Here is a 14,083-nt window from a genome sequence, read left to right as displayed (position 1 = left end):
CAGTAAATGTGATTCACCACATAAAAAGAAAGAATCAAAAACAAAAAACATATGATCATCTCAATAGATGCAGAAAAAAGCCTTCAATAGACCAGGCATTGAGGGAATATACCTCAGAATAATAAAAGCCATCTACAACAAACCCATATTCAACATCATATTGAATGGGCAAAAGATGGAAGCATTTTCCCTTGAGAAGTTAAACAAGACACTCTCACCAATTTTATTCAACATAGCACTGGAAGTCCTAGCCAGAGCAATCAGGCAAGAGAAAGAAAAAAAAAGACAAATAGAAAAAGAAGTTAACTATCTATCTTTGCTGACAATATAATTCTTCTATACAAAGAAAACCCCAAAGACTCCATGAAAAGGTTCCTGGAATTGATAAACACATTTGGTAAAGTTTCAGGATACAAAACCAATGGAAAAAATCAGGAGTATTTCTATATACCAAGAATGGTCTAGTTATGAACTAAATCAAGAACACAATCCTACTTATATTAGCCATAAAGAAAATAAAATACCTAGTGTATTAGTCCATTTTCATGCTGCTGATAAAGACAAACCTGAGACTGGAGAAAAAAAGAGGTTTAATTGGACTTACAGTTTCGCATGGCTGAGGAGGCCTCAGAATCATGGTGGGAAGTGAAAGGCACTTCTTACATGGTGGTGGCAAGAGAGAATGAGGATGATTTAAAAGTGGAAACCTCTGATAAAACCATCAGATCTTATGAGACGTATTCACTACCACAAGAGCAGTAAGGGGGAACTGATCCCATGATTCAAATTATCTCCCACTGTGTCCCTCTTAAAACATGTGGGAAATATGGGAGTACAATTCAAGATGAGGTTTGGGTGAGGACACAGCCAAACCATATCATTCCACCCTGGTCCCTCCAAATCTCATGTCCTCACATTTCAAAACCAATCATGCCTTCCCAACAGTCCCTAAACTCTTAACTCATTTCAGCATTAACCCAAAAGTCTACAGTCCAAAGTCTCATCTGAGACAAGGCAAGTCCCTTCCACCTACAATCCTGTAAAATCAAAAGCAAGCTTGTTACATCCTAGATACAATGGGGGTATAGGTATTGGGTAAATACAGCCATTCCAAGTGGGAGAAGTTGGCCAAGACAAAGGGGTTACAGGGCCTGTGCAAGTCCCAAATCCAGTGGGGCAGTCAAATTTTAAAGTTCCAAAATGATCTCCATTGACTCCAGGTCTCACATCCTGGTCATGTGGATGCAAGAAGTGGGTTCCCATAGTCTTGGGCAGCTCCACTCCTGTGGTTTTTCCAGGGTACGGTTTCCCTCCCAACTGCTTTAATGGTCTGGCATTGAGTGTCTGTGGCTTTTCCAGGTGAATGGTGCAAGCTGTCGATGGATCTACTACTCTGGGGTCTGGAGGACAGTGGTCCTCTTCTCACAGCCCCATTAGGCAGTGCCCCACTGGGGACTCTGTGTGGAGATCTGACCCCACATTTCCCCTCCACACTGCCCTAGCAGAGGCCCTCCATGAGCACCCTACCCCTGCATCAAACTTCTGTCTGGACATCCAGGTATTTCCATACATCTTCTGAAACCTAAGTGGAGGTTCTCAAACCCCAATTCTTGACTTCTGTGCACTCACAGGCTCAACACCACATGAAAGTTGCCAAGGCTTGGGGCTTGAAGCCTCTGAAACCATGGCCCTAGCTCTACACTGGCCCTTTCAGCCACAGCTGGAGCAGCTGGGACGCAGGGCACCAAGTCCCTAGGCTGCACACAGCACAAGGACCCTGGGCCCAACCCACGAAACCATATTCTCCTAGGCCTCCAGGCCTGTGATGGGAGGGGCTGCCATGAAGACCTCTGACATGCCCTGGAGAAATTTCCCCCATTGCCATAGGGATTAACATTCGGTTCTTCATTACTTATGCAAATTTCTGCAGTCGGCTTGAATTTCTCCTCAGAAAATGGGTTTTTCTTTTCTATCACATTGTCAGGCTGCAAATTTTATGAACTTCTATGCTCTGCTTCCTTTATAAAACTGAATGCCTTTAACAGCACCCAAGTCACCTCTTGAATGTTTTGCTGCTTAGAAATTTCTTCTGCCAGATACCCTAAATCATCTCTCTCAAGATTCAAAGTTCCAAAAACCTCTAGGCTGGGGCAGAATGCCACCAATCTCTTTACCAAAACATAACAAGAGTCACTTTCCTTCCAGTTCCCAACAAGTTCCTTATCTCCATCTGAAACCAACTTAGTCTGGACCTTATTGTCCATATTGCTATCAGGCTTTTGGTCAAAGCCATTCAAAAATCTCTAGGAAGTTCCCAACTTTCCCATATTTTTCTGACTTTTTCTGAGCCCTCCAAACTGTTCCAACTTCTGCCTGTTACCTAGTTCCACAGTTGCTTCCACATTTTTGGGTATGTTTTCAGCAACATCCCACTCCTGGTACCAACTTACTCTATTAATCTGTTTGCATACTGCTGGTAAAGACAAACCCGAGACTGGGAAGAAAAATAGGTTTAATTGGAGTTACAGTTCTGCATGGCTGGGGAGGCCTCAGAATCATGACGGGAGGCAAAAGGCACTTCTTAAAAGGAGGCAGCAAGAGAAAATGACGAAGACGCAAAAGTGGAAACCACTGATAAAATCATCAGATCTCATGAGACTTATTCACTATCATGGGAACAGTATGGGGGAAACCACCCCCATGATTCAAATTATCTGCCACTGGGTACTTCCCACAACACGTGGATATAATGGGAGTAAAATTCAAGATGAGATTTGGGTGGGGACACAGCCAAACTATATCACCTAGCAATTCATCTAAGCAAAAAGGAGAAAGATCTAGACAAGGAAAACTATAAAATACTGCCGAAAGATATCGGAGATAACACAAATAAACAAAAAAAAAGTTCATAGTCATGAATTGGAAGAATCAATAGTGTTAAAAGGGCCATACTGCCAAAAGCAATATACAGATTCAATGCTATCTTTATCAAAATACCAACATCATTGTTCACAAACTCAGAAACATCTATTCTAAAATTCATATGGAATGAAAGGATAGCTTGAATAACCAAAGTAATTTTAAGCAAAAAGAACAAAAATGGAAGCATCACATAGCCCAACTTTATTAGATAAGGCCACAGTAACAAAAACAGCATGATACTGGTAGAAAAACAGACATATCAACCAGTGAAACAGAATAGAGAACCCACACACCTACAACCATCTGATCTTCGACAAAATTGACAAAAATAAGCAAAAAGGAAAGGAATCCCTATTCAACAATGGTGCTGGGATAACTGGCTAGCCTTTGCAGGAGAAGAAAACTAGACCCCTGCCTTTCACCATATACAATAATTATCTCAAGTTAAATTAAAGATTTAGATGTAAGACCTCAAGCCATAAAAACCCTAGAAGAAAACCTAGGAAATACTCTTCTCCACATCAGCCTTGGCAAATTTATGACTAAGAAACCAAAGCAATTCAAGATAAATGAAAATTGAGAAATAGGACCTAATTAAGCTAAAGAGCTTCTGCACAGCAAAAGAAATTACCAATAGAATAAACAGCCTAAAGAATGGAGGAGATAGTTGCAAACTATGCATCTAACAAGGGTCTAATACCCAAAATATGCAAGGAACCTAAACAAATCAATAAACAAAAGACAAAACATTTAATTTAAAAAACTGGGTGAATGACATGAACAGACAGTTCTCAAAAGAGAGCATACAAGTGGCAACAAACATGAAAAAACACAACATCTGTAATTATCAGAGAAATACAAATGGAAACCATAATGAGATTACCATCGCATAAAGATCTGAATGGAGATTGTTAAAAAGTCAAAAATTAACAGATGCTGGTAAAGCTGTGGGGAGAAAGGAATACTTATACTCTGTTGGTAGAAATGTAAACTAGTTCAGCCACTGTGGAAAGCAGTTTGGAGATTTCTCAAAGATCTTAAGATGGAATTAGCATTCAATCCAGCAATCCCACTACCGTATATACCCAAAAGCAAATAATTCATTATATCAAAAAGACACATGCACTTATAAGCTCATTGCTGCACTACCCACATTACTAAGATCTGGTATCTGCCTAGGTGCCAATCAACAGTGTATTGGTTAAAGAAAATGTGGTACATATATACCATGGAGCACTATAAATTCATTAAAAATAATATAATCATGTCATTTTCAGCAACATGGATGGAGCTGGAGGCTATAACCTTAAGTGAACTAATGAAAGAACAGATAACCAAATACTGCATGTTCTCACTTATAAGTGGAAACTAAACATTAGGTACACGTGATTGTAAATATGGGAACAATAGATGCTGTGGATACTAGATGGGGGAGGCATGAAAGGGGACATGGGCTGCAGAAACACCTGTTAGGTAGTATGCTTACTGCCTGGGTGAAGGGATCATTGGGAGCTCAAGCCTCAGTGTCATGCAATATACCCATGTAACAAACCTGCATGTCTTTAATCCATAAAATTTTATATTGTAAAAAAATAAAATGTATGTAGGTAGGGAAAATTTAGAATGATAAATAGATTAACAAATATTTATTAGAATCTTATTGATTATTTGGTGTGTGCCAGAGACTGTTCTAGATGTAGGGGGATGTAGCAGTGAACATAGACAAAATCATTAGGGGAAAAGACAATAAAGATATGTATGTAAAATATACAGTCTATTTTGTTGGAGTAAGTTTTAGGAAGAAAAATACAGGGAAAGGAAATAGATTTGTGTGGTATGGTATTGTAATTTTAGAGAGGGTGGCTTCACTAAGAAGAGAGTTGCATTGCATTGCAATAAAATCCTGAAATAAATAATAAGTGAGCTGTGTAAATGCCTGGAGACAAGCACTCCAAAAAGAATAAACAGCTAGTGCAAAGGCCCTGAGGCAAGAGTATATCTGTGCTAGAGACAGCAAAAAGGCCAGTATGCCTGGTGCAGAGTGAATAAAAGGGAAAATCATAGGAGATGAAGTCAGAAAGATAATTGGAGAGAGAGGACATAGATTACATAAGGCTTACATTCTGTTGACTTTGTCTTCATTTTCATGAAAAACCATTGTGGGAATTTGAGGAGAGGAGAGGTATAGTTGGACTTAATGTTTTAATATAAGATATCCCTGTGGCTGTGGAGTGGCCTTTAGGGTAGAAGCAGGAAGACAGGAAGTATTTGCAGTAATTCAGGAGCAAGATAATGAAGGCAATAGTGGGTAAGAAGCAGGAAGACTTCGGATATATCTTTTCAAATGAAGCTGACAGGATGTATTGATAAATTGGATATGCAGTATGTGAAATAAATAGAAATCAAGGAGCAGCCCATTTTTTTTTATCTGAACAACTTGAAAATTAAATTGACACTTGCCAATGAATATCTTAAGATTAAGACAGATGCCACAGGCTCTGTAAAAATCAAACTGATATGGGATGACAAGAGGTAACGATAGTCCAAGCAGAAGTTTCCCTAATGTCCGTCACACATTCAGACAACTCTGAGTGTTCACTGTAAGCCCAGCCCCCAATTGGATATTTTTCACCCCAACTTCTGAAAGACATTGCAGCCATCCGGAATTGCTCATCAGAAAATCTTTACTATCTTTATAGGCAAGGTGCATGGTTCAACTGTTCTGTCATTTTACAGTATAATCAAATGAATGACATATTGACATGACCATTTTTCCTTATTTTCCTACCTAAAGCATTGATTTGTGAATGAAATTCATCATTTAAATGTTAAATTTATTGTAGTAGGGCCTGACTGAATTGGGGTTAATTGAAGTTCCAAATACAATCTTGTTGCAGGTGTTTCTTATATAATTAATACTTGTATTTAGGATTAAAGTTTATTATTTATTGTTATTTTGTCAATGACAGCAGAAGAGCATTAGATTATCACTTAACAGAAAACATAAGGAATCAGAGCAATTGATTCAAATTCAACATGTTCTCATTTTTGTGCCAACTTTATCTGTGAAAGTGAAAATTTTATTTCCAAATAAAACTGATTTTAGATGAAAGATTTATTTTGTTTTACTCTACCCCAATAATAAACCATCTGCTCTATGACCTTGAGTTTCTGTAAGCCCAAGAGAACACAGTGCCACCCGCTAAGAAAGAAGGAAGGGAGAGAGAATGCAGGGATAATTACTTCTATCCTCTTTAAAGACATTGCCTACTTCTCATAAATATGAGCCACTCTTCCTTTCCTGTTTCCTATAAACTTTAAAAACAATTGGTCACTTTTTGCAGAAGTCTCCTCCATGGTTGCACATTCATTTAGTGCTGGTACATGAGTAGATTCCAACATTTTCAGTTTTTAAATAGAAAAACACGTGGGTGCCTTCACCAGAAAACATAATGAAGGCTTCTTTTTAAAAAAATTTTAAAAACTATATTGTTTGGGAAGAGATATGCTTTCCCATGTGAGTTTCTTTTTACTAGATTCAAGAATATTAAAACTCATTATCCATTTACTCCCCCCTTCCCTCTATAAGTGTTTATCGAACTGAGATTTGTTTATTGTGCAAGGCATTTCCTGCATATTGACAATAAAAGTGAATAAATCAAGGTCTGCCTTTAAACAATGTACAGTAAAAAACACAAATGACTATATAGAAAAATAAATGCCACCACTATTGTTCAATAGGACTAATATAATACCCCTCTAACTCATCTTCCTGCTTCAGCTCTGGACCCCTACGGTCTATTTTCCACAGAACAGCCAAATTAATTGTGAATGTAGATTAGCTCACATCATTCTTCCCTCCAAAACCCTCAAATGGCTTCCAATCCCCCTTGAAATAAATTTCAAGGTCCTTACCATAGAAAGGTCACAACCTACAATTTCCTACGTATTTTTCTTTTATTTTTTTGGAGATTGAGTCTTGCTCTCTTGTCCAGGCTGGAGTGCAGTTGGGTAGTATTGGCTCACTGCAGCCTCCATCTCCCAGGCTCAAGTGATTCTCATGCCTCAGCCTCCCAAGGAGTTTGGATTACAGGAATGTGCCACAAAACCCAGCTAATATTTGTATTTTTAATAGACAGAGTTTCACCATGTAGGCCAAGCCAGTCTTGAACTCCTGGCCTCAAGTGATCCACCTGCCTCAGCCTCCCTAAGTGCTAGGATTGAGCCACTGTGCCCTGCCAAATCCTACATGATTTGACTCAAATGTCTCTAACTGCTTTCCCCACCATCACTGTGTTCATGACACTTTGACCTTCTTGCTCTTCTTACAGTTTCCAAACATGTTCTTGCTTCAAGAACTATGCAACTGCCTTCATTCTGCCTGAAATGATTTTCCACCATATTTTCTTACGATCCACTCCCTTCAAGTCTCTTCTCAAATGTCATCACCTTAAAGTCCTTCCCTGACTGCCCCACTCCTTTCTAAAGTAATGAGGAATTAGTGAAGGATTCTATTACATTGCACTGCTTTATTTGGTATACCATTTTGCACTAATTGACAACATATTTTTTATTTATTTATTATACACAAACACTCCTCAGGTTGTGAATTTCATGAAGCAAGAAATTTTTTACTTTTGTTTTGTTTACTTTTTTAGAGTAGTAACAAAGTTTTTAAACATATATTTTAAATTTATGGACACTTGGTGTATATATTTATGGGGTACATGAGAGGTTTAATACAGGCATGCAATGTGTAATAATCACATCATGTCAAATGAAGTATGCATCCCCTCAAGTATTTAACCTTCATGTTAAAAACAATCCAATTATTTTAATTCTTTTTAAGTGTACAATTAAATGATTATTGACAATAGTCACCCTGTTGTGCTGTTAAACACTAGGTCTTACTCATTCTTTCTTACTATTTTTTTTGTACCCATTAACTATCCCCACCCCATAGCAACTATCCCACTACCCTCCCTAGCCTCTGATAAGCATCCTCTGCTCTCTATGTCCATGAGTTCAACTGTTTTGATTTTTAGATCTCACAAATAAGTGAGAATATGTGATGTTTGTCTTTCTGTGCCTGGCTTATTTCCATTAACATAATGACCTCCAGTTTCATTCATGTTGTTGCAGATGACAGAATCTCATTCTTTTTTTATGGCTGAATTGTACTGTATTATGTATAAGCATCACGTTTTCTCTATCCATTCATCTGTTTGATGAACATTTAGGTTGCTTCCAAATTTTGGCTACTGTGAACAGTGCTGCAACAGATATAGAAGTGCAGATATGTCTTTGATATACTGATTTCCTTTCTTTGGGGTATATACCCAGCGCTGGAGTTGCTCAATCATATGCCAGCTCTATTTTTAGTTTTTTTGAGGAACCTCCAAACTGTTCTCCGTAGTAGTTGTACTAATTTACATTCCCATCAAAAGTGTAAAAGGGTTCCCTTTTCTCTACATCCTTGCTAGAATTTGGTATTGCCTGTCTTTTGGATATATCATTTTAAGTGGGGTGAGACGATATCTAATTGTAGTATTGATCTGAATTTCTCCAATGATCAATGATGTTGAGCACCTTTTAATATTCATGTTTGCCATTTGTATGTCTTCTTTTGAGAAATGTCTATTCTTATACTTTGCCCATTTTTAATTGAATGATTAGATTTTTTCTTATAGAATTGTTTGAGCTACTTATATTCTGGCTAATAATCTCTTGTCAGATGGGTTATTTGCAGATATATTCCATTCTGTGTGTTGTTTCTTCACTTTGTTGATTATTTCCTTTGCTGTGCAGAAGCTTTTTAACTTGATGGGATCCCATTTGTCTATGTTTGTTTCGGTTGCCTGTGCTTGTGGGATATTACTCAAGAAACCTTTGCTGAAATCAATGTCATGGAGAGTTTTCCTGATATTTTCTTGTAGTATTTTTATAGTTTGAAGGCTTAGATTTAAGTCTTTAATCTATTTGATTTGATCTTTGTTTATGGTAAGAGACAGGGGTCTAGTTTCATTCTTATGCATATAGATATCCAGTTTTTCCAGCAATATTTATTGAACTGACTGTCTTTTCCACAATATATGCTCCTGGCAACTTTGTCAAAACGAGTTCACTGTAGGTGTATGGATTTGTTTCTTGGTTTTCTATTCTGTTCCACTGGTCTATGTGTCTGTTTTTATGCCAGTACCATGCTGTTTTGGTTACTATAGCTCTGTAGGATACTTTGAAGTCAGGTAATGTCATTCTTCTCATTTTGTTCTTTTTGCTTAGGATAGTTGTGGCTTTTTGGGCTCTTTCTTAGTTCCTTATGCATTTTAGATTTTTTTTTTTGGTATTTTTGTGAAGAATGTCATTGGTATTTTAATAAGGATTGCATTAAATTGGTAGAATTCTTTGGGTAGTAAGAACATTTTAACAATATTGTTTCTTCTAATCCATCAACATGGACTGTCTTTCCATCTTTTGGTGTCCTCTTCAATTTCTTTCATTAGTGTTTTATCATTTTTATTGTAGTGATCTTTAACTTCTTTGGTTAATTCCTAGGTATTTAATTTTATTCATGGCAATTATAAATGGGAATCCTTTTTAAATTTATTTATCAGATTGTTCACTATTAGCATATAGAACTGCTGCTAATTTTTGTATGTGATTTGGTACCCTGCAACTGTCCTGAATCTATTTATCAGTTCTAATAGTTTTTTTGTGGAGTTTTTAGGGTTTTCCTCATATAAGATCATGTCATCTGCAAACAAGGTGTATTAGTCTGTTCTCACATGGCTGTAAAGAACTACCTGAGACTCGGTAATTTACAAATAAAGAGGTTTAATTGACTCACTGTTCCAAACGCTGTCCAGGAAGCATGGCTGGGAGGCCTCAGGAAACTTACAATCATGGTGGAAGGTGAAGGGGAAGCAAGCACATTTTATCATGGCAGAGCAGGAGAGAGAGTGAAAGGGGAAGTGCTACACAGTTTTAAACAACCAGATCTCTTGAGAATTCACTCCCCACCATGGGAACAGCAAGGGGGAAATCTGTCCCTATGATTCAATCACCTTCCACCAGGTCACTCCCCTAGCACTGGATATTACAATTTAACATGATACTTGAATGGTGACACAGAGCCAAACCATATCATTCTGCCTCTGCACTCTCCCAAACATCAAGTCCTTCTCACATTTCAAAACACAGTCATGCCTTCCCAACAGTCCCTCAATATCTTAACTCATTCCAACATTTACTCAAAAGTCCAAGCCCAAAATGTCATCTGAAACAAGGCAAGTCCCTTCTACCTGTGAGCCAGTAAAATAAACAATAAGTTAGTTACTTCCAAGATACAACTGGTAAATAGACCCATTCCAAGAGGGAGAAATTCGTTAAAACAAAGGGGCTACAGGCCCCATGTAAGTCTGAAAACCAGGAGGGAAGTCGTTAAATCTTAATGTTCTCAAATAGTCTCCTTTGGCTTCATGTCTCACATCCAGGCCATGCTGATGCAAGGAGTGGGCTCCCAAGGCCTTGGGCAGCTCCAACTCTGTGTCTCTGCAGGGCACAGACACTGTGGCTGCTTTCATGGGCTGGCATTGAGGCCTGTGGCCAGGTGCATGGTGCAAGCTGTTGGTGGATCTATTATTCTGTGGTCTGGAGGGCAGTGACCCTCTTCTCATTAGGCAGTGCCCCATTGGGGACTCTGTGTGGGGGCTCCAAACACACATTTCTTGTCTGCTGTGCCCAAGCAGAGGTTCTCTGTGAGGGCTCTACCCTGCAGCAGGCTTCTTCCTGAACATCCAGGCATTTTCATACATTGAATGAAATCTGGGCAAAAGCTACCAAACCTGAACTCTTGCCTTCTTTGCACCCATAGACCAAACACCTCATGTAAGCCACCAAGGGTTGGGGCTTGCACCCTCTGAAACAAGAGCCTGAATTGTACCCTGGCCCCTTATAGCCATGGCTAGAACTGGAGTGGCTGGGAAACAGGAAACTATGTCCTAAGGCTGCACAGAGCAATGGGGCCCTGGGCCTGGCCCACAAAACCATTTTTCCCTCCTGGACCTGCAGGCCTGTGATGGGTGGAGCTGCTGTGAAGGCCTCTGCAATGCTCTGGAGGCATTTTCCCCATTGAATTGGCTATTAACATTTGGATGCTTTTTACTTGTGTAAATTTCTGCATCCCTGAATTCCTCCCCAGAAAATTCCTCCCTCCTCATGGTCAAGCCGCAATTATTTTTAACTTTTATGTGCTGCTTCCCTTTTAAATATACATTCTAGCTTCAGGGAATTTCTTTCTTTATGCAAATGATTATAGGCACTTATAAGCAGCCAGGCCACATCTTGAACAATGCTGCTTAGATGTTTCTTCTGCCAGACACTCTAAATCATCTCTCTCAAGTTCAAAGTTTCACAGGTCTCTAGAGCAGGGTCACAATGCCACCGGTCTCTTTGCTAAAGCATAGCAAGAGTGACCTTTACTCCAGTTGCGAATAAGTTCCTTATCTCCATTTGAGACCACCTCAGCTTGGACTTCATTGTCCACATCACTATCAGCATTTTAATCACAACAATTTAACAAGTTCCTAGGAAGTTACAAACTTTCCCTCATCTTGCTATCTTTTTCTTAGCCCTCCAAACTGTTCCAACATCTGCCCATTACCCAGTTCCAATGTCAATTCCACATTTTTAGGTATCTTTATAGCAATGCCCCACTTCTTAGGTACCAATTTTCTGTATTAGTCCATTCTCTTACTACTCTAACGAACCACCTGAGACTGGGTAATTTATAAAGAAAAGAGGTTAAATTGAATCACAGTTCCACAGGCTGTACAGGAATCATGGTTAGGAGGTCTCAGGAAACTTACAGTCATGGATGGAAGTGAAGGGGAAGCAAGCAGGTCTTACCGTGGTGGAGCAGGAAAGAGAAAGAAGGGTAAAGGCTACACACTTTTAAACAACAAGATCTCATGAGAACTCCCTCACTATCATGAAACAGCAATGGAGAAATCTGCCCCCATGATCCAATCACCTCCCACCATGTTCCTGCCCCAACATGGAAATTACAATTCAACATGCTGTTTGGGTGGGGACACAGAGCCAAAACATCACAAGTCTAATTTGACATATTTCTTTTCAATTTGGATACCCTTTATTTCTTCCATCTGATTGCTGTTACTGGGATTTCCAGTACTATGGAAAATGCTTTTTCAACATCAGTTGAAACAAAATACTAGCAAATAGAATTTAATAATACTTTAAAAAGGTCATTTATTGTGACCAAGTGGTATGTATCGCAGGGATGCAGGCATGGTTCAACATATGCAAATCAATAGTGTGATACATCATTTGTTTAGATTTGCATTTCCAGTCTCTAGAAGTGGGCCTGGCACAGAGGATGTATTAGTCTGTTCCCACACTGATACAAGAGGTGGGCTACCATGGCCTTGAGCAGCTGCATCCCTGTGGCTTTGCAGGGTATATCCCCCTTCATGGCTGCCTCCACAGCTGGCATTAAGTATCTGTGGCTTTTCCAGGCACACAGTGCAAACTGTCATAGGATCCGCCATTCTGGGGTCTAGAGCACGGTAGCCCTCTTCTCACAGCTCCACAAGAGGGGGCAGTGCCCTAGTGGAAAATCTTTGTGGGGGCTCCAACCCCACATTTCACTGCTGCACTACCCTAGCAGAGGTTCTCCATGAGGGCTCTGCCCCTGCAGCAAAGTTCTGTCTGCACATCCAGAGTTTCCATACACCCTCTGAAATCTAGGTGGAGGTTCCCAAACCTAAATTCTTGACTTCTGTGCACCTGCAGGCCCAATACCATGTGTAAGCCACCAAGGCTTGGGGCTTGCACCCTCTGTACAGTCATGGGACTTGGTGCCCTGAATGACAGCTGTAAAGGTGCCTGAGTTGTACGTTGGCCCCTTTTAGCCACAGCTATCATGCAAGGCACCAACTCCCATGACTGTACAGAGCAGGGGGCATTGGGCCCAGCCCATGAAGCCATTTTTCCCTTCTAGACCTCCAGGGTGCCATGCAGGTCTCTTGACATGCCCTGGAGGCATTTTCCCCATTGTCTTGGTGATTAACATTCAGATCCTGGTTACTTATGCAAACTTCTGCAGTCTGTGGCTTGAATTTCTCCCAAGAAAATGGGTTTTTAGTTTCTGTCACCTCAGCAGGCTGCAAATTTTCTAAACTTTTATGCTCTGCTTCCTCTTGAATGCTTTGCCTCTTAGAAATTTCTTCCACCAGATACCCTCAATCATCTCTCTCAAATTCAAAGTTCCACAGATCTGTAGGGCAGTGGCAAAATGCCACCAGTCTCTTTGTTAAAGCAAAGGAAGATCACCTTTGCTCCAGTTCCCAACAAGTTCCTCATGTCCATCTGAGACCACCTCAGTCTGAACTTCATTGTCCATATCACTATCAGCATTTTGGTCAAAGCCATTCAACAAGTCTCTAGGAAGTTCCAAACTTTCCCACATCTTCCTGTCTTCTGAACCTTCCAGTATCTAGGAAGTTCCACACTTTCTCACATCTTCCTGTCTTCTTTTAAGCCCTTCAAGCTGTTCTAATCTGTCTGTTACCCAGTTCCAAACTTGCTTCCACATTTTCCATATCCTTATAGCAGCACTGCATCCCAGTACCAATTTACTGTATTATTAGTCTGTTCTCATGCTGCTATAAGGAAATATCTGAGAATGTGTAATTTATAAAGAAAAGAGGCTTAATTGACTCACAGTTCCACATGTCTAGAGAAGCTTCAGGAAACTTATAATTATGGTGGAAGGTACCTCTTCACAGGGTGGCAGCAGAGAGAATGAGTGTCAAGCAAATGGGGAAAAGCCTCTTATAAAACCATCAGATCATGTGAGAACTCACTCACTATCATGAGAATAGCATTGGGGTAACTGTCCCCATGATGTAATTACCTCCCACCGGGTCCCTCCCACAACATGTGTGGATTATGGGAACTACAATTCAAGATGAGATTTGAGTGGGAACACTGCCAAACCATATCAGAGGGTGTACTCAACAAATACTAAATGATTTTACAAAGTGGGAAAGCACAAATGGGCAAGGCTATTTAAATTTAAAATCCAAACATTTTAAATGACTAGGGAGCGGTATTTAGAGAATCTCTTCAGAATTTTCAT

At 39.6% G+C, this 14,083-nt stretch overlaps 1 long non-coding RNA gene across 1 annotated transcript in view, besides 1 other annotated feature; it reads left to right on the top strand.

Annotated features, from left to right (window-relative positions):
• The window catches only part of LOC105377865 (uncharacterized), a 374,941-nt gene that overhangs the window by 336,127 nt on the left and 24,731 nt on the right, over nucleotides 1–14,083 (top strand). The window lies entirely within an intron of this gene.
• Nucleotides 11,071–11,240: an enhancer, noted in NCBI's record as "experimental_95584 CRE fragment used in MPRA reporter constructs". NCBI's record gives its function as "activates a minimal promoter by MPRAs in K562 erythroleukemia cells, with activity observed for the introgressed 6:78663257 variant allele {active_cell/tissue: K562}" and the evidence as "EXISTENCE:reporter gene assay evidence [ECO:0000049][PMID:34662402]".

Source organism: Homo sapiens, chromosome 6 (genome assembly GCF_000001405.40).
Source record: "Homo sapiens chromosome 6, GRCh38.p14 Primary Assembly".
NCBI lineage: Eukaryota > Metazoa > Chordata > Mammalia > Primates > Hominidae > Homo > Homo sapiens.
This window is presented reverse-complemented; position numbering and strand designations above follow the sequence as displayed.